Raw genomic sequence first — 27,298 nt, 5'->3', positions numbered from 1 at the left:
CATATACTTTTTTTGTCTTCCAAAGAGCCTAGGGTTTTTTTTTGTTTTGTTTTGTTTTGTTTTTTGCCAAAAGATGAGAGAAGGCAAATATCTTGGTGCAGAAAAGGCCTTGGGGACTTTCTAGGTAAACAATTTCACTGGCAGCAGCTGGGGACCCAACAGCACTATGATATTGCTAAAGCTGTTTAAATGCAGTGCACACATAGGTGCTGGTGTCTTCTGGCTGTACAAAAGGTAGGAGTTTTAAGATAATGTGAAAAAAATACAATGTAAATTTGTTCTACTATTCATGCATTCATTTTTGCTCAGCAAATATTTTCTGAGCACCTACAATGTCTTCTTTACTGGGCGTTGGGATACAGTGGAGAACAAGACAGCCAAGATTTCACTCCAAGGAGGTTGCATAGTTGTTAGCAAGATGACATTTGTGAAAAGGATGTGTGTATGACAGTGTTAGGAGGGAAACCTCACTGGTTACTGTCCTTACCTTCACAGCCACACAGCCCCTTACCTAAAAAGATATTGCTTTCTGTCATGTCTTTATATGCACGAGATGACTTTTGCTATCATTTGTTTATGGAGGGTTATTTTTAGAGGCAGGGATGATAGGAACGAGAACACTGGAGCTCACCACTCCACAGGTTCCTCCTCTTCTAGATCATGCATCCCAGCTCCTGCAGTTGGTTGAGCCAGGTGACTTGAGTTCTGGCAAATGGGGAAGGGCAGAAAGTAGTGGGCTCAATCCTCGGCCTGGCCTCCAAACCTTTCCTGCAGCCCCCTTCATTCCCTCTGTGCTACACTGATGCAGGGTTGAGAAGTGGTGGAGAGAGGGTAAGGTAAAGTGAAATCTTAGAGTAAAGAACCAATGGGATAAGATCTCATTCCAAAGATGTTGTGTTTCACTTACCTGAAGTCCAAGTACCTCTTATGAGCTCTGATCACAGTGGCTACCAAAATATATTAGGTATTAGCCCTTCCCCTCGAAGAGGTCATGACCCATTTGGGCTCGGAAAAGACCTTTGCACATGGGAACAAGCAGTAAATATGTGTGTGAGGGCTGTGGGCCAGGTGGAGGTGAATCTTCTTAGAATTGAGAAGAGGAATTCATCCAAGAAAACACCTCCCTTGACGCTAAAGCTCTGTATAGTATTGAGTTTTAAAAATGTACCATGGTACATTTAGACGCACCAATAGTCCAGAAATAAGGAATGGGATGAAAATGAAACAGACTGCCTCAGTGGTAACAAAGGTTCCAATGAAATAAATGTCAGAACTCAGCAGAATGGTCATGTAGCTCAGCTCTGTCTGACTGTGCCAAGAAAGAGAAAACATCTCTCATCAGTGCAAATTTTTTGAAGATGAAGAAAATGGACTTCTGAAGCCTCTTAAAGACTCTGAAAGTCATGCCACAGATACAGTTACAAGGAACTGGTAACTCCTCAAAACCATGCTGCGGAATTAAAGCAAAGACTTCAGATGCTACTCTCCCCAAACAGAATTCATGGGGACCTCGAGGTCAGTGACACCTTTCAGAGCACAGACTGGAATAGTCAGAGTGACCCAATGTACTCTCCCTTTGATCAACCTTACATTTGACTGCATTTTAGTAAATTATCCATGTAGTTGTATTTTGACAGCTCTCTTTACAGCAGTAAAACAAAATGTGTGCATCGCAAATGGCAAAGATTCAAATTTCAGCTATGTTTATCCAAAATAGCGCTGAACTGCTTCTGTACTTCTGCTATACTGCCTACAGCTTTACGGAAGGGAAGACAGATGGGATGAATTTAGCAGGGAAACAGCTGTGGCTTGAAGAAGAGACAAGCAAAAGTTTTGCTATCAGGCTTCATTATGTATCAAGGTACCAGTAAAATGTGTACCCGTAAGGCAGCCAAAAAAGTGTTTTTCATTTGACTAGTGATAATTACCTTTTCTCAACAGCTGACAATGTTCTAAGTAGCATTAAATAGGTATAATAATTAAGCAATAAGATACAAGCGTCAGTGCCTCACTGGGAATTGTGGTTTTCTTCAGGTGTGCTGGGAGGCACAGGCTAAGAGGCCACAGACTTCCACCACCTGAGAAAGGGAACAAGCCGAACACGCTGCCGTCAGGGGTGCAACAAACAGAAAAAGGAGAAAAAGCTACACAGGGGAGAGGGAAGCTGGGGACTTATTGGTGTGGCCACAACATTACCGAAATAGAGTTAAGTCAATGCCCATCTCCAGTATTTCCATCTCTTTCTTCACAATAAACATGCTTCAGTCACACTTTGTTCCAGTCAGCTAGGGCTGCTCTACCTATAGCTTGTGAAAATGGAAAATTGGGCTTTTGGTCCTCTGAATCATCTTTATCCATTTTTAAATGTCCAATCAGATGTTCTTCAAAATGGACCTGCTTCAACTTTCTGTGAACAGGAAATGTCCAGTTTTGACATGACTGGCGTGGTGATCAGTCACACTGTGAGTTGGGTGGACTGTGAGTGACTGTTCCCTGCTGGCGCCAATTCCATTCCTGCGGGTCGCCTCAGGGAAGGCTGACCAACATGCCACCAGAATCCTCCCGGAGATCCTCCTAGAGAAAGTAGTGCTCGCTACACACACTTTGTGTTTAAAATAAGAAATCATCCATTTTGTGAAAAAAAAAATCATGCCTCTTTATCTCAATAGAGGCTTCTATATTGGGTGACCAAAAAATAATATAATGTATGAGCATTATTAACACCTGATAAATTGTTCTAATAAATAGATTCTTTACAAATCTAATGTATGTCACACTGGTGAATAACATCATGTTCCACTCAGATCAATAACATTAATATTGCCATGGTAACAGAAGGGAGAAAGGCAGAGAAAGCCTTAAAAAAGAACAAACAAAATAAGACCTATATGCAATAATCCCTTGAGTGACAGTGACATTTGGTAGTACAAATTTTCCTAAACAGCTTGGAATTACCACGTCACCATTTATTACCATTGAGTGGTAATAAAAAAAAGCATTAGCATACTCAGAAGCACGTGCAAACTGATTAGAAACTTACTAGCTTCTCGAGGCCTGGGCAGGAGGATCACTTGAGGCCAGGAGTTCAAGACCAGCCTGGGCAATGTAGTGAGACCTCATCACCAGAAAAAATAAAAATATCAGCTGAGGGTGTTGGTACGCCTGTAGTCCCAGCTACTCAAGAGGCTGACGTGGGAGGATCACTTCAGCACAGGAGTTAAGGCTGCCACGAGCTATGATTGTGCCACTGCACTCCAACCTGCACAACAGAGTTAAACCCTGTCTCTTAAAAAACAAAAACTTATTAGCTTTCTAAATATTTTAGTATCACCTTCCATTCCCACTCTTCCAAAAGGTTGTGTTTTCTTTCATTTTAGGTACAATTATTTCCACCCCCCACCCCCCAAGCCTTTCTGTAATACACCTCCGTTCTTCAGTGACTTGTTTCTGGCAGAACGTGCTGAACCTCTGGCCTCCTCCACCTTATTGAGTCTTGAAAAGCCCCATGTTAGCCACTGATTTTCCAGGTTCAACAGGACCATCTTCTCTTTAGAGGCAGAAAGATACTATGAACTTTCAGTGAGAGCACAAGCTTTCGAGTCAGGCAAACCTATTTAAATTCTAGCTTTCCCTCCTAGGACTGTGCAGCTGTGGCCACACTTCCTCCCTCCGAGCCTCCACTTCCTCAATCATAAATTGGAAGAAACCTTGAAAGACTATTGTAAAGACTATTGTAAAGTACAGTAATGTCTGAGTGAATTGTCAATAACTAGGGACTACTTTTTTCATTATGGGAAGGAAAGGCTTTACCAAATTGTCCTTTCTGTCACTCTTTTATTTCAGATTATTGCCCCTCTGCTTTTTCTTCTCACTCTCCATAGTCTGCCTCAAATTTAAGGTAACATAAACACATTTGAAACTGGTAATATTTTACTATCTCCACCACATTTTTCTCCATCTATCAGAACACAAGAATTTCCCACATAGAGATATTCATGCAATAGCTTAAGGCACGTATCTTGGGACTCAATTCAGAAACTGATCAGACGTCCCTTGTAGGAAAACAGTGGCAGTTTAGTGGCAGGAATGCCGTTTAGAGATCACTGACAATGGGAATATAAAACAATGCCATATCTGACTGGAATCACAGGAAGCGCTTCTAAAAATTTTTACTATTATGGGAGCTAAAATATTGCTAAGATTCTTCAAATCAGCATCCCTTCTTCCCAGAATTGGCAGCCACACTGCCCAGGTTCACGTTTGGCATCTATCACATAGTAGCTGTGTGACCTTCAGCCTGTTACTCAACCTCACTGTGCCTCAGTTTCCTCATTGTTAAAATGGGGATATTGCTAGTACTCGCTTCATGTGGTGGTTATGAAAATTCAGTGGGTTTAAAAGGTAAGTGCTTAGAAGAGGAGCTGGTACATAGCAAGCACGCTCTAAAGTTAGCTGCTGCTACTACAGTGATGAGAATTACAATGACGATTATTATATATTTATTATATCTTACATAATTATATATTATATAATAACAATTATTATTGCAAGAGGTGTCAGGAAATTTTTACATGGTAGCAAGAAGCTTAACACAACATTCGGTGCTGTCAAACTGTGGAAATTAGGGAATCAAGGACAGGGCCAGAACCAAGAATTCTTGAAACACAAAAGCAGAGGCCAGGGTCCCTGGCCAGGGAGGCTAAAGGATGGTTGAGCTTCTTACAGCAAAGACCTTAAGATTGTGTGTGCTGAGTAGTCAGATGTCTTCACGAGAACACTTCTAAAATTAGTAACTCACTCTGACCCACACAAAAGTCAAGATGAGGACAGAACTGTATCTTGTGTCTTCGTCATTTTGGGATGGGTCCTGAAGGTTTCTGCAGGACCTCTATCCATACCAGCACACCTGACAATTATATTTCTGCCAGAGAGTGATGCCTAACATATTATAGCCAAATTTTAAAATCTGTTTAGAAAAGAGACGAAAACACATATTAACAGACTAGCAGCAATGCTGCCTCACAGTATAAGTCAATAAAATCCCTGTCTCCTGGTTTCCTCATATTGTAAATGGTAATAACCACCCTTGATAACCACTTAACAGAGGGATTGGAGAGTGCCAGCTGAAATTTGCAAAGTACGCTTGAGGTTGCAATTATGTAAACATCGAAATGATCTCTCTTTTAAGAATGAATTTTGAGCGACTTAAATCAAAGTGTTAAGGACAAAAGCTTCATAAAATGCATGAAAAATTGGACTTAGATACTATACTTTGAAATCAACCATCAGCATTACAAATGTCACGTATGCACCGACTGTTACCAGCAGAGAAGTTCAAAAGTAAATACACCGCATTTGACAACCTAATCCTCAATGCATGATGCTAGTCAATAATGGGAAGCCACTGCAAATATGGAAACTGACAGGCCAAGCAAAGCAAATATATTTTTACTTAAACGGTGAATTCTTTCTGTACATTTTCTACAGGGCTCCTATAAGTCATTTAAAATATTCGGTTCTGAATGACCACTTTAAACAGAAAGAATGATGCTTTGGATCTAAAACCGATGATTAAACAATGCGGACATTTACATGAATTATTTTTGGTTTTGTGATAATTTTCATTGTTGACATGACACTGAGAATGAAACTTCTTTTATGGCTTCAGGATCAACAGAATAGACACATGCTATTCTGAATATGAATATTTATAAGATTTTTCCTTAAAGAAAAAAATATGAAATAATCAATAAATTATTTTTTTACAAAATAAGGTGCACTCAACCAAAAGAGAATCAAAGATCTGTTGATTCCTCAGAAAGCATTAATGTTTCTAGCATGCGTGATAAATACCTACGAGTCTTCCGCCCATTTTCCTTTTTGGAAGTTCATCACTGTATATTCTGTGACAATCTGCTCCCCTAGAATTTGGAATTTGAATAAAACAGATTTGGTTGCTTTTTCCTCAGATGAATGCACAAAGACCCTTAAAAACAAATGTTCTTTAAAAGTGTGATGCCTGTATTTAACATTTATTAAAGATATAGCATCTACCAAAAGATTTTCAAGCTGAACTCTAGGTCTTCCATCCCAATTCTACAATAGAAAGTTAAATATGATCAGAATACATGGTCCAGGAAAAGCACAAGAACGAAGAGATAAAGATGGAAGATTGCCCCCTAAATACAATAAAATAAAAAATAATCCCCTACCCCTTTACCAAAACCAAGCCAATTGCCCTCCCTCTACCCCCTTTTTAAATGCTGGGAATGACCCACTTTAACCTAGGCATATTGGTATAAAAATAAAAGCAAAAAATCTAGCTTTCTTGATGTATTTATATGAAAATAAACATATAGGCACAGCTAATAGCTCACTCTAATTTCTCTCTAAGCAGAGCCTCTCATACAGGTTTACTATTACATTCAGAGGCATGCATTTTTTAAAAATACTATTTACTCTGCCACTACATCTCCAAATTTGTCATCTGACTATATTTGTACAGCTTCGTTAAACTAATCCCCAGAAGTGTCCCACGTCATTTAGCTTTTGATAACCTGAAAAGCCCAGTGACCCTGGGTCATCTGCATGACCCAAAGCCAGCCACAGAATTAATAAGTGAATTTCCCTACCAACCAGGGCAGGCTCAAGGATGAGAGCAGAACCCGATGACTCTTCTCAGACCTAATTATGTCAGGCTTTCCTGTTCAGTAAACCAAAACAGGGAGAGAAAACTGAGGAGAAAGGCTTTCCACCAAGATAAATTCTGCATGCTCCCGGTTCATTCGATGAATAAGGAGTTGGAAGATCCAGAAAACTAGGATGATGGAGACTGAACTGACTGGGTCCATGCTCTGAGCTCCCACAGCCTGTAGACCAGCGATCAGCCCACGCCAACAGTCCTTGCTCCTGCAACACGCATCCCTTCGGTCCAGAGGCCATTCTGACCCACTTGTTTGTTTCCTTAGGGGCCACAGCGATGCCCAACCAAATATTTGGACAAATGAGAAAATAATTTGTTGAGTAACATTATCAAATGTACTTTGCACTTGAAATGTGGCACACACAGAGGGTTCTAATAAAGTAAATCACGTTTATATGCATTACAAGGGGAACTTACTATAATGAATTATGTTGCTAAGTGAAGAATGACTACTTAACTAATCCATTTTGTAAATATGGATTTAATATGTTGGGTTTGCTTAAAGTGAGATATACTGACAACAGTTTGGCTTTCTATCAAGCTGGATTTGGAGTAAGATATTTTGAATTAGGTCATTTATTAAATTTCAGAGCCTCTAGTCTCTCAACATGATCAAGTGTGATCAAGATAGATGGAAATAGGCTAGGTGCGGTGGCTCTCGCCTGTAATCCCTGCACTTTGGGAGGCCAAGGCAGGCAGATCACTTGGGGTGAGGAGATCGAGACCAGCCTGGCCAACATGGTGAAACCCAACTCTATTAAAAATACAAAAATTAGTTGGGCATGGTAGCCGACACCTGTAATCCCAGCTACTTGGGAGGCTGAGGCAGGAGAATTGCTTGAACCCAGGAGATGGAGGTTGCAGTGAGCTGACATAGCACCACTGCACCCTAGCCTGGGCAACACAGCGAGATTCCATCTCAAAAAATAAAAACAAAAATAAAGATAGATGGAAGTAAAGCAATTAACGTTTAGCAACTGGCCTACTTTTTCATGTTAGGGCAAAATAAAACTTCAAAATTCCCTAGGAATTTTTTGTTAAAGCTTTCAAAAGTTTTCATTTCTTCATTCTGAAATAGATTTCCTCCTTTCAAAATTAAACTTTTCTTTTAAAATGTGCCCTAGATTTTCCTTGTCTTATGAATTACAGCATTTTAATCATAAGTAGTGTATATAATTTCAAAATTAATATTGCTTTTGGTTATTGAAAACAAATGAACAGTTAGAAAATTACGTCATGGTGGATCTATTCATTTTGTCAAGCAGTTTATTTCCACCGTATCTGGGAAGCTTATTCCCACCGTATCTGGGAAGTTTATTTCTACCGTATCTGGGAAGTTTTCTCTGGTTACCCCAGACACCGACCACAGTGGAGGGTGCATCTGTCATGCTGACTGAAATCCTGACCAGGTGAACGGTCCACTCTTGCAAAATGCTATGCTGCTCACTAAACAAGATAACAGGGACAAACAGAAGATAGTACAGGAGCACAGGCTTTAGACATCTCAGTTGTTGAATAATGTAACTTCTCCAACTCTCCTTTGGCTCCTTTGGAGAACACGGTTATTATTATTATTAACCACAATATGTGAGATAACATATGCTTAGCTGGAGCAGATTCCTATTAGCCACTCAAAAACGGCGACCTCTTCCCTTACTCGTGCTTGTTCCGACATGCCCAAACGGGTACAGTGATGTAGGCTGTGGTGCACGGGGGCTGTGGGGTAAGGAAAGAAGTGCATTCCGAGTGGATGCATTACCTCCCACAGTTCCAAGATAACCAAACGTGAGCGAACCAGGCCTCTCTGCCTGGCTGAAGGGGTATGAGTCCCGGGAAGAGGAAACTCTGATTTTAGGCCTGTGGAAATCAGTTCCCAGATGCTCTGCTTGGCCTCTGTGTCTCAGTTTCATAGTTTCAAAGGAAGACAATACTAATAATTCATCTTGCACGGTATATATGAAAAGAAGTATCTTTTTCATGTTTTAAAGGTCATTGAATATATAACAGCTAGATAGTTAAAGCAAAATACCATATTCATCAGTGAAATAGAAAAGTTTAGCAGCATTCATCTGTTCTCATTTTAAATTTACCACAGTATGTAAATTAGAGGATTTAAAAAAGCATCAGGCAAAAATCTGAGCTAGGTGCGAATGAAAAGCACAATCAGAAGCAAATTTGTGACTGCTTGAAGTTAAGAGTTTGCCAAATGGGATGGTACTTAGATTTTACTACTAATCTGAGTTTATGTAAAGCCAATAGAAAGATCCCAATTATTGTTATATACCCAGAGTAGGAATTTGCTGCTAAACTGCTGGAGAATATAGGTCTCAGGTTGGCTTTTGTAAACATCTTATTTTATGTGCTGAAATTATCACAGGAATACTACACACTGAGCTGAACTTTAAACACTCAGTCCTGGTATTATATATACAGTCTGAAGAAAATAAACCAAATAAAATTTGGATTACTGGCTGAATTACCTGATTTTAAAAATATTTTGCTGGAGTTGAGAGAATCTATTTAGCCAGGAAGAGCAGTTATTCTATCAACCGAACATTTCAAAATACGATTGATGGCAAAATGAGATAACCTGATCATTCTTAACAGGATTTTCTTACATCCAGAACATTCACACTGTATCAGAAATGTACAGAGGCGGGTTTGTGATTCACACTCTTGTAGAGCTCAGTGGGCCAATATGTTACATTGAGACATCAGCCTACTATTTAAACAACACCCTGTCTGGTTTCTATGGCACAAACTACCTTCAAAAACAAAATGAACCATATTAAATGAAGCCCAGGGAAAGTCAAGCTCAGGAGTGCTGCCATAGTCTGTACTCCGAGTCAGGAGACCTGGACTTTTATGTTGCATTGACCCTGCAGTCTTGGGCTGGGGCCTCAAGCCCACCAAGAAGAGTGTAATTTACCAGCCACTGCAGAGTACAGCCGGTGGGATGGAGACAGATGCCCACCTGAGTGCCAAGCGAAACCTGCTCCAAATTTTGTGATCCCCAGTCTGAATTCCCAAAGTCCTAGAATACTGTTGATCACCTCCTGCACCCTCCAATAACATCATGATATCTCATCAACTCCGGAAAAGGAGAGTCATAAGATAAATGTATTTTCTACTTCACAATGCCTAATCATTCAGAACACTACACTTTTTGAGTGCCTACTATGTTCCAGGCACTGTTCTAGGCAGCAGGAAATCAGTGATGAACAAGACGGATGAAGTCCTTGCCTCGTGGCACTCACAGTTCAGAGAAGGAAAACAACAGAGTAAGAAGAGTCACTCAGTTCTTCAACGTTTTGAGAGGCTGCTAAAGGATCAGACCTAGAACCTTGCCTGGCACAACAGAAGCCCTCACAGAATAATTGGATCTGCTTCTCAGAAAAGAAATAAGTAAACATTAAGTTTTATATAAATTTTATGAAGGTTCACAGCCCATCTATGCATTTCAGTGTAAGAATCTCATTGCAGGCTGGGCACGGTGGTTCACACCTATAATCCCAGCACTTTGGAAGGGTGAGGCAGGAGGATCACTTGAGTCTAGGAGTTCAAAACCAACCTGGGCAACACAGTGGGACCCCATTTCTAAAATATATACATATATATATAGCCAGGTGTGATAGTGCACACTTAACAGTCTCAGCTACTCAAAAAGCTGAGGGAGGAGGATCCCTACAGGCCAGGAGTTCGAGGCTGCAGTAAGCTGTGACTGCACCACTGCACTCCAGCTTGGGTAACAGAGCCAGATACTGTCCCAAAAAAAAAAAAAAAAAAAAAAAAAAGAGATGAGATCATCTCAAGGGTAGGGAGAAGTCAAAAAGGTATGACAGAGAAAGAGATAGAGGAGTCTAACTCTGTTTGCAAGGGTTACTAGGGGAGGTAACAAAAAGGGGAAGACGAAAAACCCCAGCTGAGCCTGTTACTGTTTGCATTTCCTTTTACACAACTAACACATGCTTAGTGCAGAAAACTTAGAAATGGCCAGAAAGTGCAGTGGAAGAAGGCACACCAGTAATCCCAGAGAGCACTACTATATTCCTTTCTGGTGTGTGGCCTACTGTCTGTCTGTGTGTGCACACACATGGAAACGCCTGAGCATGCACACGCAGGTGTAACGAGATGTAACAAGAGGGACACAATTTTATTCAGCAGCTGTGTGGTTGTCAAAGGGCCTTTGATGGAAGGGTTTTTTAACTGTGGGTCATGACCCTTTAGTGGGTCACAAAATTACTTTAGCAGGCCGCAATCAACTTTTTATTTTATTTTTTGAGACAAAGTCTGGCTCTACTGCCCAGGCTGGAGTGCAGTGGCGTGATCTCAGCTCACGGCAACCTCTGCCTCCTGGGCTCAAACGATCCTCCCACCTCAGCCTTCTGAGTAGCTGGGATTACAGGCACGCACCACCAAGCCTGGCTGGTTTTTGTATTTCTTTTTTTGTAGAGACGGGGTTTCTCTATGTTGTCTAGGCTGATCTCGAACTTGTGAGCTCAAGTGAGCCACCCAACTTGGCCTCCAAAGTGCTGGGATTACAGGCATGAGCCATCGGGCCTGGCTTAAATTTCCTTTAGTATATATACGTAAGTGTCTGTATGCATGTGTGTACAATGTGTGCTTACTCAAGAAGCAGGCTACTCTGAATATGTCCATTTAAGACAAGAGTTGTGGCAGAACTGGATGGTTCTGCATAATAGAAGGGGGTGAAGAATGTTTGGCTCCTAGAAATATGAGAAGGCAAAGAATTAGAAAGTTATAGGGTTAAGGAAAGCGGGAGATAGGACAAAAAAAAGTTCCAAGTTGGGAATGCACCCAGGAAAGGATTATGGAGGGGAGAACTAAGTATTAATGGAGATTGTTATGTTGTTTCTAAGGGAGGTATGGCATGAATGTTTTCCATCTTACAATATCTTCAGTAAAATCCATGCTGATCAGCAGTACATTTGTGCCTATGAAATCTTTAGGGAAACTCAAGGAGATGCTGAGCTCTATGTACAAACTGACATGGGGCAAAATTTGAGTCTACATGTGTGAGATACACAAGCTAGAGTATGAAGAAGATGTGACATTTGCAGTACATATCCATCTATAGATCTATAACTATATACCTTCTGTGTATGCAAAAGATGAAATAATGTATACTACTTTTACCCTATTTCCCCTTAGGGGATATATTTTGAACATTTTGTCATATCAATAAACACTTCTTTTTCAACAAGTGATTTTAGCAGCATTTTAGAATTAAATGCTATATTAATCCTAACGCCTGTAATCCCAGGATTTTGGGAGGCCGAGGCGGAAGGATCACCTGAGGTCAGGAGTTCAAGACCAGCCTGGCCAACATGGTGAAACCCCGTCTCTACTAAAAATACAAATATTAGCCGGGCGTGGTGGCGCACACCTATAATCCCAGCTACTTGGGAGGCTGAGGCAGCAGAATTGCTTGAACCCGAGAGGCAGAGGTTGCAGTGAGCTGAGATGGCACCACTGTACTCCCAGCCTGGGCAACAGAGCAAGACTCTGTCTCAAAACAAACAAACAAACAAAACCAGGTTATATAACAAAACAAACAAACAAAAATAAACAGGTTATACATACCCTATGCTGTCCACTCATATCTCTACTAAAACAGGGGCTAGCAACGCTAGAATACATGCTTTCCCACGAGACAAGAATCCCTGGAAGTCAGTGATTGATTTATCTTCCATATCTCCAAGGTCTGCAGAATTCCTATCATGTAATAGGTATTCAATCACCTTTGTATTTTTCGCTGGTTTTCTGTTTCAAATGAACCAAACTATACAGCAGCTTAAAGGAGTTGCAAAATAGCTAATGAAGCCAGGGGAGTTCAAACCCTAATGGTGTGGTGGAAAGAACTGAGGACACATATGGAATCAGCCTATATTAATCCTAACCATTACCTAACAACTTTTAAATGAAAACAATGTCAGTTCCTAGAGAATCATTCATTAATTCAATACACTTCCATACACTGGGACTTCAGAGATTGATAACACATGGTTCACATTGAAGACCTCACAATCTAATGAGGAGAGAAGGACATCGAAGGCCATGAATACAGTGCTCTAAGTGCTGGAAAACAGAGACGTCTACCATAGGAACAAGGTCTGACTAACTGCCTAGAATCAGGGAATGTTGGCCTCTAGAGAAAGCTCATGTTTTTAACCCTGCCCCTACCCAACCTCAAAAATCCCACCCTGAAAGAATAGTTCTGGTGAGAAATTTGGCAATCAGATCCAAATACGTTTTCAAGCTCTTCCTTGGAGCCATTTATTGAAGTGGAAAAGACAGAATCCCAAGATGGGAGTGTGGACCTAAGGGGAAAGGGCCAAGGGACTGCCCGAGTTGCCACATTTGCAGTCACTGAGGCCTCCCTACTCTAGGCAAAAGGCCAAAAGGAGCCCAGGACTCCATGGTCCAGTCGGGCCTAACAGGAGGTAACCCTGCTAGTGAACACAGAGGCATAATTCAAAATGAGAACTACGAAATGCAACACTAACACTATGTGTTAAGGGCCATGTGGAAAAACTGGGGCACTTCCAGACGTCGGTCACAAAAATAATGATTTTAAAGTGGAAGAGATACAGAAGTTAAGTATATTTGGTTTGAACAAGAAATGATAATGTGTTTCCAAGGATCGTCTTCCAAGGGCTGTTCTGCCTGGCTATGTGAAAGAAGAAACGTGTTTCCCAGCCTCAAGTCTATGCTATCTCCTTCATCTATGATACAGAAATCACTAGCAATATGTAAAAAGCCAAATTTAGCTGATTTTTTAAAAACAAAACTGTCACAAATTTTGCAACTTACCAATTATTCTTTAATGTATCAGCCACTGGGGGAACCAAAAGCTTGGAAAATATATAATTCATTCCAAATGGTTATCATAAAATTTGTAAAGTCAGAGTCATTTATGTAACTGCTAACAACCTTAGCAAGTCGCTCCATTAAGCATGACCTACAAACCTTGAAAAATAAGGATCAACTAATAACACAATGAGTTGTTAAATAGCCTAAGTAGAGCCAGGCAGCCACTCCAGTTATAATGAGATCAAAGCATATTTAATAGTGTGATTAACACTTACTGAGTGTCCACTGGATGTGCATCATTATACAATAAAACTATAGATTTTTATTACTTCATAATAGTAATTAGACACACATATAGTGAGTAGGTTTTCCAAACATGAAGATATACATGAGAGGTTATAAAATATTTTTTAAATGTTGCACATACACATCAAGTTCTGCTTTTGTCTCATTTTTACCCTTCTACAATTTTAGGAGATAAAAAGGATGATAAAATATGATGATTTTTAAAAAGAAGATAAAAAGGACTACAAATTCATTTAGTAAATGCCTTCTAAGGGCCAGGATCTGAACTATAGGCAAGAGATACAAAGATGACCAGAGTATGGTTTCTGTCCTTAAGGAGTCACAGTCTAAACAAGTTGGACAGTCAAAGAATAATTATAATGTCCTGTACATTTGAGCAAACTGCTGTCTGAACGAAGTGCTGAGTAACACAGAGAGTGGCATTAAGGAAGCCTGTACTGGAGATGATGGCTGACCTGTGTCTTGGGAAATAAGAGGTCTCTAGGCAGGGGAGGAAAAGGTCTTTCAGGCACGAGCACCCGGACTGTGAATTCTGAGAGACAAGGGTTAAGTCTTACACATCTTTTCAACCCCAAAGCCTACCACAGGCCCCTGTTACCATTGTTAGAACACAATACATATCTGAAGAATGTATGTATGTAGAGTGAAAGAACTATAAATAAAATAAATACATGAACAAACACCAACCACCTCTCTACTTTTATTCACACTTGATTCTAGATTCCTGAGAAGAACGGAACAACAGAAAATCCCTTTTCAGAGCTCATGAACTATAAAGAAAAGATGTTTACTCTCCTTGTTTGCTACAGCCAGATTTAGTAATGGACATAACCAAGCCCTGGAGGACCTGTTTCTGTCTAAATCTATGCCTTGACAAGGTCCCAGAAGCCTGGATGAACCACACCTCAAGCTTCACCTGTGGATGACACCTCCCATTGTTCAGCAATGCGGGTGCCTGCAGCAGCTACAGCCATGAGCAGCTCTCCCAACCCATGAGTTAGGAAGCAAGGACTCGGGAATCCTGCTGCACACTATGCTATAAGGGAAATAAAGCCAAAATAAAAGCCACGGTTGGGACAGGAAGGGTGAAAGATGATCACAAAGCCACGCAGAAACTATTTAGCTCCTCTAAGAAATGCCACAGGAAGCCATTTACATGCTTAGTTTGGTGACATGTCTCCAAGAACCACCCCACAGGGAAGTTTGTAGCTCTTCACACCATATCCCCTTACCCTTCTTTGTAAAGTTTTAAATGTTTACAAATATTTTTATTTATATTATTTGAACTATAACTTAAATTTTAAAAATGGTTAATAATTCTGAAGACTTATCAATGCTTTTAATATCCTAATGTACATTCTGACTCTCTAAAAAGTACATAGTTTATGCAGTATGTTCCAAAACTAAGATATCATGCAAACCTTTTTTTCAAAGACTATCTGTGAAGGACGGATTGTCTGTAAAACACATTTGCAAAAGTGCTGCCCCACCCCTTTGAGTCACAGTGTAGCAAAGGAGTAAACAGGCAGTTATGTAAGATAGTGTGTGTGTGCGTGCGCAGGCACACACACACTATAATCACCATCTTGATAGATACTAAGACCTAATTAAGGAAGAAAAATAGAATGGATGCTCAGATCCCCTTCCTCCCCCAAAATAAAAGGAAAAGTGGAAGGATTATATTCACCCAATTTAGAGAGAGAATAGTTGTTCATTACCTATTGATTTGTTCATTCCTCATTTAGCGATGAGACTTAATACATTCATAATGCCTTTTAAGAATGAGGCATGGTTTTTTTTTTTTTTTTTTTTTTTTTTTTGAGACGAAGTCTTGTTCTGTCACCCAGGCTGGAGTGCCGTGGCGCGATCTCGGCTCACTGCAACCTCTGCCTCCTGAATTCAAGTGACTCTCCTGTCAGCCTCTGGAGTAGCTGGGATTACAGACACGGCCACTGTGCCTGGCTAATTTTTGTATTTTTAGTAGAGACAGGGGTTCGCCATGTTGGCCAGGCTGGTCTTGAACTCCTGAACTCAGGTGATCTGCCCGCCTCAGCCTCCCAAAGTGCTGGGATTACAGGCGTGAGACACCGTGCCCGGCCAAGCATGGGTTCTTAATCCAAGAGTTTCCTAAACCCATTTGAAGCTATTTGTATTTTCAGCCATACAGTCTCCTAAGAAAGTAGTCCTTCCATGACTTTTATGCAAGGAGTCAATCAGGTCCCCATCCGAGAAAGCCTGGCTGCAGCCCCAAGCAGCCCCAACTGGGCAGCAGGTCACCTGAAAACCTGTACATGAGGTATATTCTCCAGGCTGAACAGTGGCCGATGCTTTTATTGCCAAGTAGCTATGGATGGTTTGCTCAGTATATAAAAGCTCCACTGGCCCAGCTTCTGGGTGGGGTGAGGCTGATGTTCTTAAGCCAGGAACAGAGAAAGCAGAAAGGAAACAGATAAAGTTCCCTTTCTTCTGCCTCCAAGTTGGCCTTTCTCTGACACAAAGAAAAAAATTGGTCAGGTGCAGTGGCTCATGCCTATAATCCCAATGGGAGGCCAAGGTGGGCAGATGGCTTGAGCCCAGGAGTTCGAGACCAGCCTGGGCAACAAAGTGAGACCTTGTGTCTATAAAACATACAAAAATTAGCCGGCATGGTGGTGCATGCCTGTAGTCCCAGCTACTCGGGAGGCTGAGGTGGAAGGATCAATTTATCCCAGGATGTTGAGGCTACAGTAAGCAGTGATAGTGCCACTGCACTCTAGCCTGGGCAAGAAAGACAGTGAGACCCTGTCTTAAAAAAAGAAGGAGGAAAGATAGTGCATGGAGAATGCAATGCACATTCTTCTTAACCAGTTATTATGTTATACATCTTTACTTGTCTGACTCAGGTAGTTCCTTCCAAAGTACAGTAGAAGCTCTCTAAATGGAGCACCACTTACCCTGATCACCCAACAACTAACCCTTTCCTTTTCCCTCTGTCAAACACATGAATGATGTCCACGGCACACTCAGTGCTATGGCCAATGACTGCTACTCACCAGCACAAATGGGCGCTTGTGCTCCCAACAGTTGTGCTCTACTTCCTAAAGTCAGCCATGTTTCTTCCCAAGCCTGTGTGTGCTGCTTACATAAACGTAATTCCATGTTTGCTGAATTCAGAAGTATGATTGTTAAAAAAAGAGTTGCTGATTCTATGAAAACGCAGTGGAGTGATTTAGAAGCATTCAACAAAGCTGAATTTCCACCCCCCAACACAAAAAGTTTGTCCAATTAGGTGTGCCTGAAATAAATGTAAAAGATTTGGTGGGCAAGGGCCATTAAAATAGCAAATTCTGCATGAAGGCTGTTTCCCAAGTGTCTTTATGTCCTCACTTAGTTTGGAGAAATCAAAATTGGGTGCAATAAAAGATGTATTTTGGGTGTTGTTTATCCAGGGCAAATGACATGGCATGCCAAATCAGGTGATCCTTACACACAAAAAATATGCCTCAGCCCCACATATCCATCACCTGTCATGTATTTTTTGACCTTCCAATTAACCATCCAACTTCTGGTCTCAAGGTCACTGGACAAAATAGCTTCTGGTAAACATCTGATTATTTATGTCCATTGTATATTTTCCTTTTCATCATTAGTACTAGTCCACCTCCCTATTTCTGGAAGCATATAAGTTATTGAGTGGGTACAGTAGAAAACACTAGACCTGATGTCAGAAAACGGATTCGAGTCATTACTTGTATTCTTTGGGCTTCCGTTTTCTTATCTATAAAATGTGGTGCTGGGGATGGGGATGGGAATGGAGGGTGGGAGTAGACGACAAGAGGTGAAGTTGGACTAGATAATCTTTCAGGCCTCTTCTGATTCTATAAAATGCCATTCTACATAACTCGGGTCATATAAGACAGGCAGAGCTCCTTAAAAATTTATTAGTCTTTAGAAATACATTAGAAAATAATATTTGGAAAAATATGTTTGTTATTAATGTGAGAATAAGTAAATTTACTTGAGATAAGTAGACTTTTTTAGGAATTTTAATTTAAAAGAAGAAAATATAAAAGTAACCACATATATAAATGATTAAAATAAGATTTAAGTTGCCAACATAAAATAGAAATTGATATCCTTATAATTTGAGAATAAGAAAAGATCTAAAAGATGTTATATCTTAAATGTCCATGCTATCTATAACAAAAAACAAACTTTTAGAAGAAACTATTCTTATTAATTTACAGTTCCAAAGTGGATTACAAAGTTGCATTTCTGAGAATACCATGCAGTATAAAATTAAATAATATTCAGTATTAACTTTAATTTCACTAACAACAATTATTGATTGGTGGAAATAAATTACCCAAAGAAACAAATGCCACTTTCTTTCAGATCTTTAGATCTGGCCAGGCGCAGTGGCTCACGCCTGTAATCCTAGCATTTTGGGAGGCTGAGGCAGGCGGACTGCCTGAGCTCAGGAGTTTGAGACCAGCCTGAGACCAGCCTGGGCAACATGGTGAAACCCCATCTCTGCTAAAATAGAAAAAATCAGCTGGGCATGGCAGCATGTGCCTGTAGTCCCAGCTACTCAGGGGGCTGAGGTAGAAGACTCACTTGAACCCGGGAGGTGAAGGTTGCAGTGAGCCAAGATCACACCACCGCACTCCAGCCTGGGCAACAGAGCGAGACTCCATCCCAAAAAAAAAAACAAAACAAACAAACAAACAAAAAAACTTTAGTGCCGCAACAGAACTAAAATAAAGTTAAGCCTATGACGTAATCTAAATCACACTTGAATTCCTTTACTAGCAATGTGGCTTGTCAAAAATAAGTATTTCTAGATAAAAAGAAAATTACTGGAGCTCACTACCTCACATATTGTTTTGCTGCTTCTTTCATTTTAATTATTAATTAAAATGGTGTCTGAATTACCTTCTGTGCCACAAAAATTATACAAACTAGGCTCATATAGAAACATAAGAAGTTTAAATCTAAGTACACATGATCCTTTCAAATAACCATTTGTCATTTGTCAGTGGGAAGAATAAAAACAAGCGTAATTTTCAGTTTGTGTGCTGCCTTGGAGTCTATATCAATTTCAAGTTTTCTTTTATGATTCAGCTATTCCAAGAGTTCCAAGAGTCTGAAAATATTTCATTAAAAATTAATGTGTTATCCACACAAATGGCAAATATTGAAAACTAGGAATATAAATAAAAAATAATAAAAATAGTAAGTCTACTAATACTGAAGAGGAAGGAAGACAGGAGGGGAGGAGAGCATGTGAAAAGGAGAGAGATTTTAAACATCCGGTTTCTATTCTGGACCATTATGGAAACAGACAGACACAGCAAGCGGAAGCCAAATTTATTCTTGGGCTCTGACAGGATTTGTTTTCGATCTTGTCATTATTTTTACTATATTCTTCCTAATAATATTTCTCCAGTGTTCTAGATTTCCTGACCGACAATACCAGTCTCATTAAGAGCTTACAAATGAGAACTGTGGAGGATTCAGGCACACTGGTGGGGTCTAGCTGCCTTGCGAGGTTACCTGCTGGGGCTTTAAAACTTTCCCAGGAACTCTTCTGCACTAAGGCACACAATTATGTGTGTGCACATGGCCCCCATCCTATGCAACCTTCCCAAGTCCCATTGAGTGATTTGCCTAGGACCTAACACACAACCTCTGGCAGAGCAACAACCACCTGGTGTATCATAAACAGGTGAAGATGAACAAACAATGCCCATTTCACTAACACTGGTACAAAGGCAATAAATTCCCCATGCATCTTCTTCGCCCTTTTTGTATGAATTGTTCCAAGTTAAATAGCAAGCAAATACTTTCCTTATTCTATCTCAAACCTTTCCCTTTACATGTCACTGAGAGAAAGTTACACTGCTTATCAAACATGCAGCCATGGACACACACTTGTTCCTACATCAAAATAAAACACAATAGAGCTCCTCTACACAAAGATAATGAGGGAACTATTTTGAAAATATGAAAGATTTGTTTAATGCAGACTAGAAAAACATCTCTTTGCATCAAAATAAGTGTCCCTCTTTATTGCATACTGATTATTTTCTATAGAATTTAAATTGTACATAAAATTATATTTGTGCCTTGTTTAATGTAAATTGATTGTCTCAATTATTGGGAAAGGATTTGAATTTTAATGGACTATTTTGCTGGAGATATGCCAAGCAAATCAGCAAAAACTCTAATAGCTCTAGCTGGAGGTACACAGCCAAACATTTAAATCAGGAAGAAGATGTGGTTCCAAGAATTGACACTAAAGAAGTAGTCTGAAAAGGTTTGTAAGCTTTTCTCCATGAAGAAGAAATCAGCTTTAACTTTCAGTGTTGGAAGATTCTGTGACTGTGAGGCTGTCATTTGGTTTCTGTCTGAAAAAACTGGAAAGATCCACACATGAGTGGAAAGAACTTTTGTGGCTATACTTTTTTTTTTTTAATGTTCTTTTTCCCTACAGATTAGGTTATCTATGAAAATCAGGGCTTTACACTGAAGGCAGAACTGACGTAAAATCCAGAGGCACTGTGTCATGCAAGCACTGAGACACACTTGAATGGGACGCTTCCTTGTCTTTGGGAAGGCCACACCAGGAGGTTGGCTGTAGACGCATCACAGCCACATGCCACGTAGTTACTGCTTGACATGTCTCCTTCTTATAATCCAGAGTCTATGACGTCAAACAAATCTCCTCCATTCTTACTATCACAGGCAAGAGCCGACCTTAGCCATCTTGCTACCCAGACGGTTGCAACATTTTTATTGTTCAATTACAACCAGTGATACCAGAGGTGCAGATACACATCTGCTGCAAATTGCCACCCTTCTACTAAAATCCTTTTCACAATTCCTCAATCTCAAGAAACACTGTTGATATAGATGTAAAAATCACCTCTTGGGGTAATATGATGATCTATTCACTTACACAGCAAAATGTACACCTCATTATTAACCAACATGAATTCATTTTGAATGCTACCAATTTGAGGTATTTTGTAAAAATACGAAGTTTTATTATAATAGTTTCCATCTTTAAAGAGCCTCTTTTTGCCACAGAGAGCTGATAGTACTAATATAGACACACATATAGATGTTATAACAGCACAGAATATAAACTAAGCTTTGGGCCAGTGAATAAAGATTTCTTCTGTTATTCATCAAACTTTTCTGAATGAATTTCTATGATGTTAAAGAATCAAGCTCAATATAAGACATTTCTTTCTATAACAACATTCAGAAAGTCTAGAAAGGGTCATAAATTATGATCAATGACAGTTGTGACTCCTCCTATGTGCTGATCTGACTTGTATAAAACAATCTCAATGTTAAGATACTCCAAAGTCTGTATGATATATCTGTACCTATATTTACATATATATATTTTAACAAACCTAGAGTTTTCTGACAACTAGATTTTTGATTAAAATTCTTTGTTCCCTAATTAGTACATCTCAGATTTTAGGTAATAAAATCTAGCCATATGAATTTGAAGAAAATGCTACTCCTAGGCACACCATTTACCATTTTACTGTAGAAGAGCATAAATTCTGACCACAGATTTCCTTCTAGAAATGAAGAGAGTATTCTAGAAATGAAGAACCAAAGCAACAGGACCGTGAAAAGAGAGCAGGAAAGTAATGTAAAATTGAGGGGAGTATCAGACAAAGAAAAAGATAAAAAAATAGCAGAGAAGTACCATGGGCTGGTTAGAAAACAATTCAGCATGAACAGCACGTTTGGCATCTTAATACCCATCCATCCCCTGTACCCACATTTGCAGAGGACTGTGTGAGCTTCACTTAGCAGCCAGAGTCAGCAATACATCAGCTAGATGGATGCCTACTTTCTTTTAATGACACATTTGCCTAACATATAAATATTAAAATTTACATTTGTTGGAAAAGAGTGACTCAAAAGCCTCTTTAATGCTGTTTTTCTATATTCATACAAAATGCCTTTAAAATACCGGCTCCTTAAAGCTGACTATTTTCCATAGATAAGAAGGAGAAAATGGTTTGGCCCATGTTCATATACAAAATAAATTCTTTTATGGATAATGGCCATTTTTAAACCAATTAATTTCTAGAAAACAAAAGCCCAGAAAATATCACCAGGAATAGATCATCAAGATATTATCACAAAACCAAACATTGACTTTAATCTGCTCAATTCCCATCACCAGCAGCCTGCATGCTACACACGGCCAAAACAATGCACGAAACTGCTCTTCCCCCTTAAATATACACATTCAGCTCAACAAAGGAAAACACTCTTCAAAAGCACGAAAGGCATTGCTTTCCTTATGTAATCACCTCAGAAGTTATTTTGTTCAAAATTACCAAAGAAATGTCAAAAAGCCATGGTATCCCACAAAGCAGTTAATTCATTATGTTTGACTGAGTCTAGATTTCAATCCTTTGTGCAACATCAAAAGTGCACAATTGGAACACTGCTGCCTACAGGGCCTTACACACAGCTCCAACCCCATGTCAATGCCTTCCAGCCATTTCCCAGAATTCCTGGAATTCTTCCTGGAACTGACCCATAGGCTCTCCGACAGGCAAAGTGAACTGCCCTTCCCAAGTCAGGTGAAAAGGGTCTGCCTTGGAACAAAACCTCTCAAAGGCAGCCTGAAATTCAGTGTTTCCTGAGACAAAAGCAGGGTCCTGTCTAGCAGCAGAGCTTATTTAGTTTTAAAGGAAGACCTGCTAGTTAATGTTTTTCTTTTCCTTTTTTTTTAATTTAATAATGATATACTATTAAGTGTGAATTGCAGAATAAAACCGAAGAACTTATTTTATTTAACAAAAACATACGTCGTTTTGTACACGCCAGGCAAATGCTAAGCTCATTTAAGCCTCATAACCCTATGAGGTGGGACCTTTTCCGTTTTTCTCTCCTATAATGAAGACACTGACTCACCCAGGGGTGAAGTAACTTGCACAAGGTCAACAGCAGGTTCAGTGGTGGGACTGGCACTAGAACCCAGGCAGAAAGCTCCGGAAACTGCATATCATTAACCATTATGCACCATATGCTCCATTAGCAATTAAAAAGTCTTTTTAAAAGCTCATTTAGTCTTGCTACAACCTGGGAAGCTTTCTAAGACACATTAGCCTGAAAGGCCCCTAGTAGAGAGAGAATTTGACTTAGATGTAACAAACACTGTCACTTGTAGTCCAAGCCCCGCTGAGAGGCTGGCTTGCTGGGGAAACTCAGGTAGTTAAAAGCATGGGCTCTGACATCAGATAGCCCTGCATTCCTAGACTAACAATGCCACATATTAGCTATGTGATGTTGGGTAAGTTATATAACTTCTCAGAGCCTCAATTTCCCCCTCTAGAAACAGAAGGCAATACTACTATCTCTACAGAATAGCTCCAATGATGTGTGTGTGTGTGTGTGTGTGTGTGTGTGTGTGTGTGTGTGTGATGGAGTCTCACTCTTGTTGCCCAGGCTGGGGTGCAGTGGCGTGATCTTGGCTCACTGCAACCTCCGCCTCCTGGCTTCAAGCGTTTCTCCTGCCTCAGCCTCTGGAGTAGATGGGATTACAGGCACCCACCATCCCACCTGGTTAATTTTTTGTATTTTTAGTAGAGACAGGGTTTTACCATGTTGGCCAGGCTGGTCTTGAACTCCTGACCTCAGGTGATCCACCTGCCTTGGCCTCCCAAAGTGCTGAGATTACAGGCATGAGCCACTGCGGCCGGCCAGATGATTAAATTTAAAATGGTAAACTGGGTGCAGTGGCATGCACCTGAGGTCCCAACTACCTGGGAGGCTGAGGTGGGAGGATCACTTAAATCCAGGAGGTTGAGGCTGCAGTGAGCCATGACTGCACAACTGCACCCCAGCCTGGGTGACAGAGTGAGACCCTGTCTCAAAAAATAAAAAATAAAATAAAAATAAAAGAAGAAGCAGTCACCAGTATTGTAACACATTATCACACATTGTTTTCCATTCTTCCACGCCTCACCTTCCATTCCCTCACTCTCACTGCCCAGGGACTACAGCCAAAATAAACATTCATATTTAATCCTTGCACAGGTTCTAAGACAGTAGGAATGAAGGAATTGGCAGCATCTTCATTGAAGTCACTCACTTGGTTAGTTAACATATCTTAAAACAGATATGGAAAGATACAAACCAGAGGAATGTCATAGGAATGGAAGTAGTTGGATAATGCGAGCAAAATCACTGGTGAAAATGTCAATAAACTCAGAGATCAGAAACAAACTGCAAAGTTAAAGATAGGCCATGATCAGCAGAAAGTTATCAGGAGCCACTCTGGCTCACCAAGTATGAGAAAAGCCTCATGGTACTGAAAACGCTAACATCACAGAAATGTCTTTCCCTTGTTTAAAACCCTTCAAAGGCCCCTCTCAGAGTGCTCAGAAGAAATCCTAAACATTTTTACATGGTTCAAGAGAAAGACTCCTCCAGGTCTAACTTCTGAGGGGTCTACCTCCTACTAGGAGGTAGGCAGGTGCACGCGCACGTGTGCATAGACACACACACACACACACACACACACACAATCACTCCCACTCTAACAATGGGCAAAAGCCAGATAATCTTCAAAATCATATTTTTTCTTGAGCCAATCAGAGAGCTGAGGTTGCAAGGTAACTAGCTGATGTAAATTCCAAAAGGTGACATGACTCTCTGAAGGCAGAACAATTGAACCGTTTTATCTTTGGCATAGCAAGGAAAGGGGAAATGGCCACTGTAAAAGTAGATAAAAGGAAAGCAGCCAACCTTTTAATGGGTTCTTAAAGTGTGGGCTAGTGTGCCAGCCTGGAATCCATGGGAGCCCCAAACACAAGAGGACAAGAGAAACCTGCACTCATTATTGAACACTTTTCCACAGCCTTCCTCCCCCCGGATGCGCACAGGAAAGATTGAAGGCGGGGCAAAAAAACCCACGAGCAGCTTCCCCCTCCGAGGTGGGGCATGAGGACATCCACTGCCCACTGACTAGACTATTTTTTCATATGAAGCAAACGCCTCAAGCTCCCGGGGGAGGGGCAAGAAACCTTCTCAGGAAAAAGGCCCACTGCCTCCAGGAGAAGGTGAGAGGCAAAAGCTGTCTTCCTCTGGGAAATGGGTGGAAACCTGTTGCCCTGATCCTAGGAAAAATGTGAACTGTCACTGAGGGAGGGCAAAAGCAAAATCCATTAGTGGTGTGATGGTTAATGTTTAAAAAACAGCTTTCTGGCCGGACGCGGTGGCTCACGCCTGTCATCCCAGCACTTTGGGAGGCCGAGGCGGGCGGATCACGAGGTCAGGAGATCGAGACCATCCTGGCTAACACGGTGAAACCCCGTCTCTACTAAAAATACAAAAAAAATTAGCCAGGCCTGGTGGCGGGTGCCTGTAGTCCCAGCTACTCGGGAGGCTGAGGCAGGAGAATGGCGTGAACCCGGGAGGTGGGGCTTGCAGTCAGCCGAGATGGCACCACTGCACTCCAGCCTGGGCGACAGAGCGAGACTCTGTTTCAATACAAAAAAAAAAAAAAAAAAGAATTCCTCCATGTCATTTTAGGATTTGACGATAGATATTATTTCTCAAAAGAATTGTGCCCTGTACCTCCAAACCTGGGTGACATGCCAGTCTGATGTACACAGAGAGCATCCTGGGTTTACTCTTACCGTAGTCTATTACACCTGTATGATTACCGTATACCTCCCGCACTGGATTCGAAGCTTCTAAAGGGGAAATATCATGTCTTTTTTCCTTTTGTACCTAGTGCTGAATGCATGTTAATAAATACAGGGATACATTAATAAGTTAGAAGGTGCAAAATAAAGCAAAAGACAGGCAATCTAGGTTTTCACATTTAATATTCAATGTTTAAAATTGTAGAGTCTAAGGCAAAGCAACAAACACAACTACAGAAATGAAAAATCAGATTTAATTTAAAAGTTCTAAGTTAAATTTTAAGTCTTAAGAGTTAAGATAATGAAAATTCTAATCAGTTCTGGATCTACCAAAAAGATAAACCAAAGAGAGAAAATCAGCTTTAGAGAGTGAATTGACTGAAAGAGGTTTACATTGGATATATGGAAGAAATTTTTCAGGGACTTTCAGCACTGAAATGTACCTTTTTTCCCCTCTGATATAAGAACAGAAATTTACCTATTCTGTCTTTTTGCGAAAAGACCTTTCCACAGATAGGTGTTTAATACTCACAGCCTCTTGTGGTTCTTTGTACAATGCTAACATGGGTGTAGCAATTATTATTAATTGAATATTTTTGTATTATCCACAGTTAATTGTAGAAAAAGCAAAAATAATAAACATTATAAAAATATTAAAATTGGCAGGTTATAGATGGTTTGTCAGAATTTTTGCCTCCAAACAGGCATTAGTTATTTCCTAGTACTAATATAAAATTTTCCCTCCCAGGAGTAGAAGTTAAACTCTGTTAGCCTTTTGTTTTTCTGTTCCTAAAGACTTAATGAAGTTACAATTAGGAATTTAAAAAGAGTGTTCCTCTCAGATGAATGTAGTTAACTGATCTTTGACAAACAGCAAAAGTAGTAGAATAGAGCAAAAATAGAGTTTTTAACAAATAGTGCTAAAACAACTAGATATCCATATGCAAAAAAAGAATGAATCTAGACAGAGACTTTACACCCTTCACAAAACGTAACTTGAAATGGATCACAGATTTAACTGTAAAACACGAAACTATAAAATTTATAGAAAATAACATAGGAGAACATCTAGGTGACCACAGGTAGGACAATAGCTACAACACCAAAGGTACGACCCATGAAAAAAAGTTGGGGCAACCCGCTCGGGACCCCTTCCATGCTGTGGAAGCTTTGTTCTTTTGCTCTTCACAAAAAACCTTGCCACTGCTCAAAAAAAAAAAAAAAAAGTTGATAAACATGATATGATATCATACAGAGCATGTTCAATGGTAGAGATATATCATGTGTTCGTCCAAACCACAGAATGTACAAAACTAAGGCTGAACCCTAATGTAAACTATGGCCTTTGGGTGATTATGATGTCCCAATGAAGGCTTATCAATTGTAACAATTATACCACTCTGGTGGTGGATACTGATAATGCGGGAGGCTATGCATGTATGGGGTATATGGGAAATCTTTGTACCTTCCTTTCAATTTTGCTGTGAACCTAAAACTTGCATAAAAAAATTTTTTAGAGTGTTCCTTATTCCTAACTATGCTGAAAATACGATTGTAAAGAAGCAACTAGATAGATATATCCCTCTTGAAATTTTACTTGGGGCTCATACTGAAAATTTTCACCATCGAATAGAGGACACACACACACACACACATTCACATGTTCACAAACACTTAGAACATCATAGGCATATCCCAAGTCGTGGTCCAAAATGTCGTTCCATAAATCAGTTGTTGAAAATTCAAAAGGCATTTTGCCTTAGAAATAACATTATGTAAA

The 27,298-nt window shown here is 40.1% G+C and overlaps 1 protein-coding gene across 6 annotated transcripts in view, besides 1 other annotated feature; it reads right to left on the bottom strand.

The window, feature by feature from the left end:
- The window catches only part of SDCCAG8 (SHH signaling and ciliogenesis regulator SDCCAG8), a 244,051-nt gene that overhangs the window by 37,180 nt on the left and 179,573 nt on the right, over positions 1–27,298 (bottom strand). The gene's annotated exons all lie outside the window — the stretch shown is intronic.
- Positions 7,945–9,144: an enhancer, noted in NCBI's record as "BRD4-independent group 4 enhancer chr1:243617070-243618269 (GRCh37/hg19 assembly coordinates)". NCBI's record gives its function as "activates an origin of replication core promoter dependent on BRD2, P300/CBP, MED14 and CDK7 cofactors, and independent of BRD4, by STARR-seq in HCT116 cells {active_cell/tissue: HCT116}" and the evidence as "EXISTENCE:reporter gene assay evidence [ECO:0000049][PMID:35650434]".

Source organism: Homo sapiens, chromosome 1 (assembly GCF_000001405.40).
Source record: "Homo sapiens chromosome 1, GRCh38.p14 Primary Assembly".
In the NCBI taxonomy this organism is placed as follows: domain Eukaryota; kingdom Metazoa; phylum Chordata; class Mammalia; order Primates; family Hominidae; genus Homo; species Homo sapiens.
The sequence above is the reverse complement of the archived record's forward strand: the minus strand, read 5'-3'. Positions and strand labels throughout refer to the sequence as shown.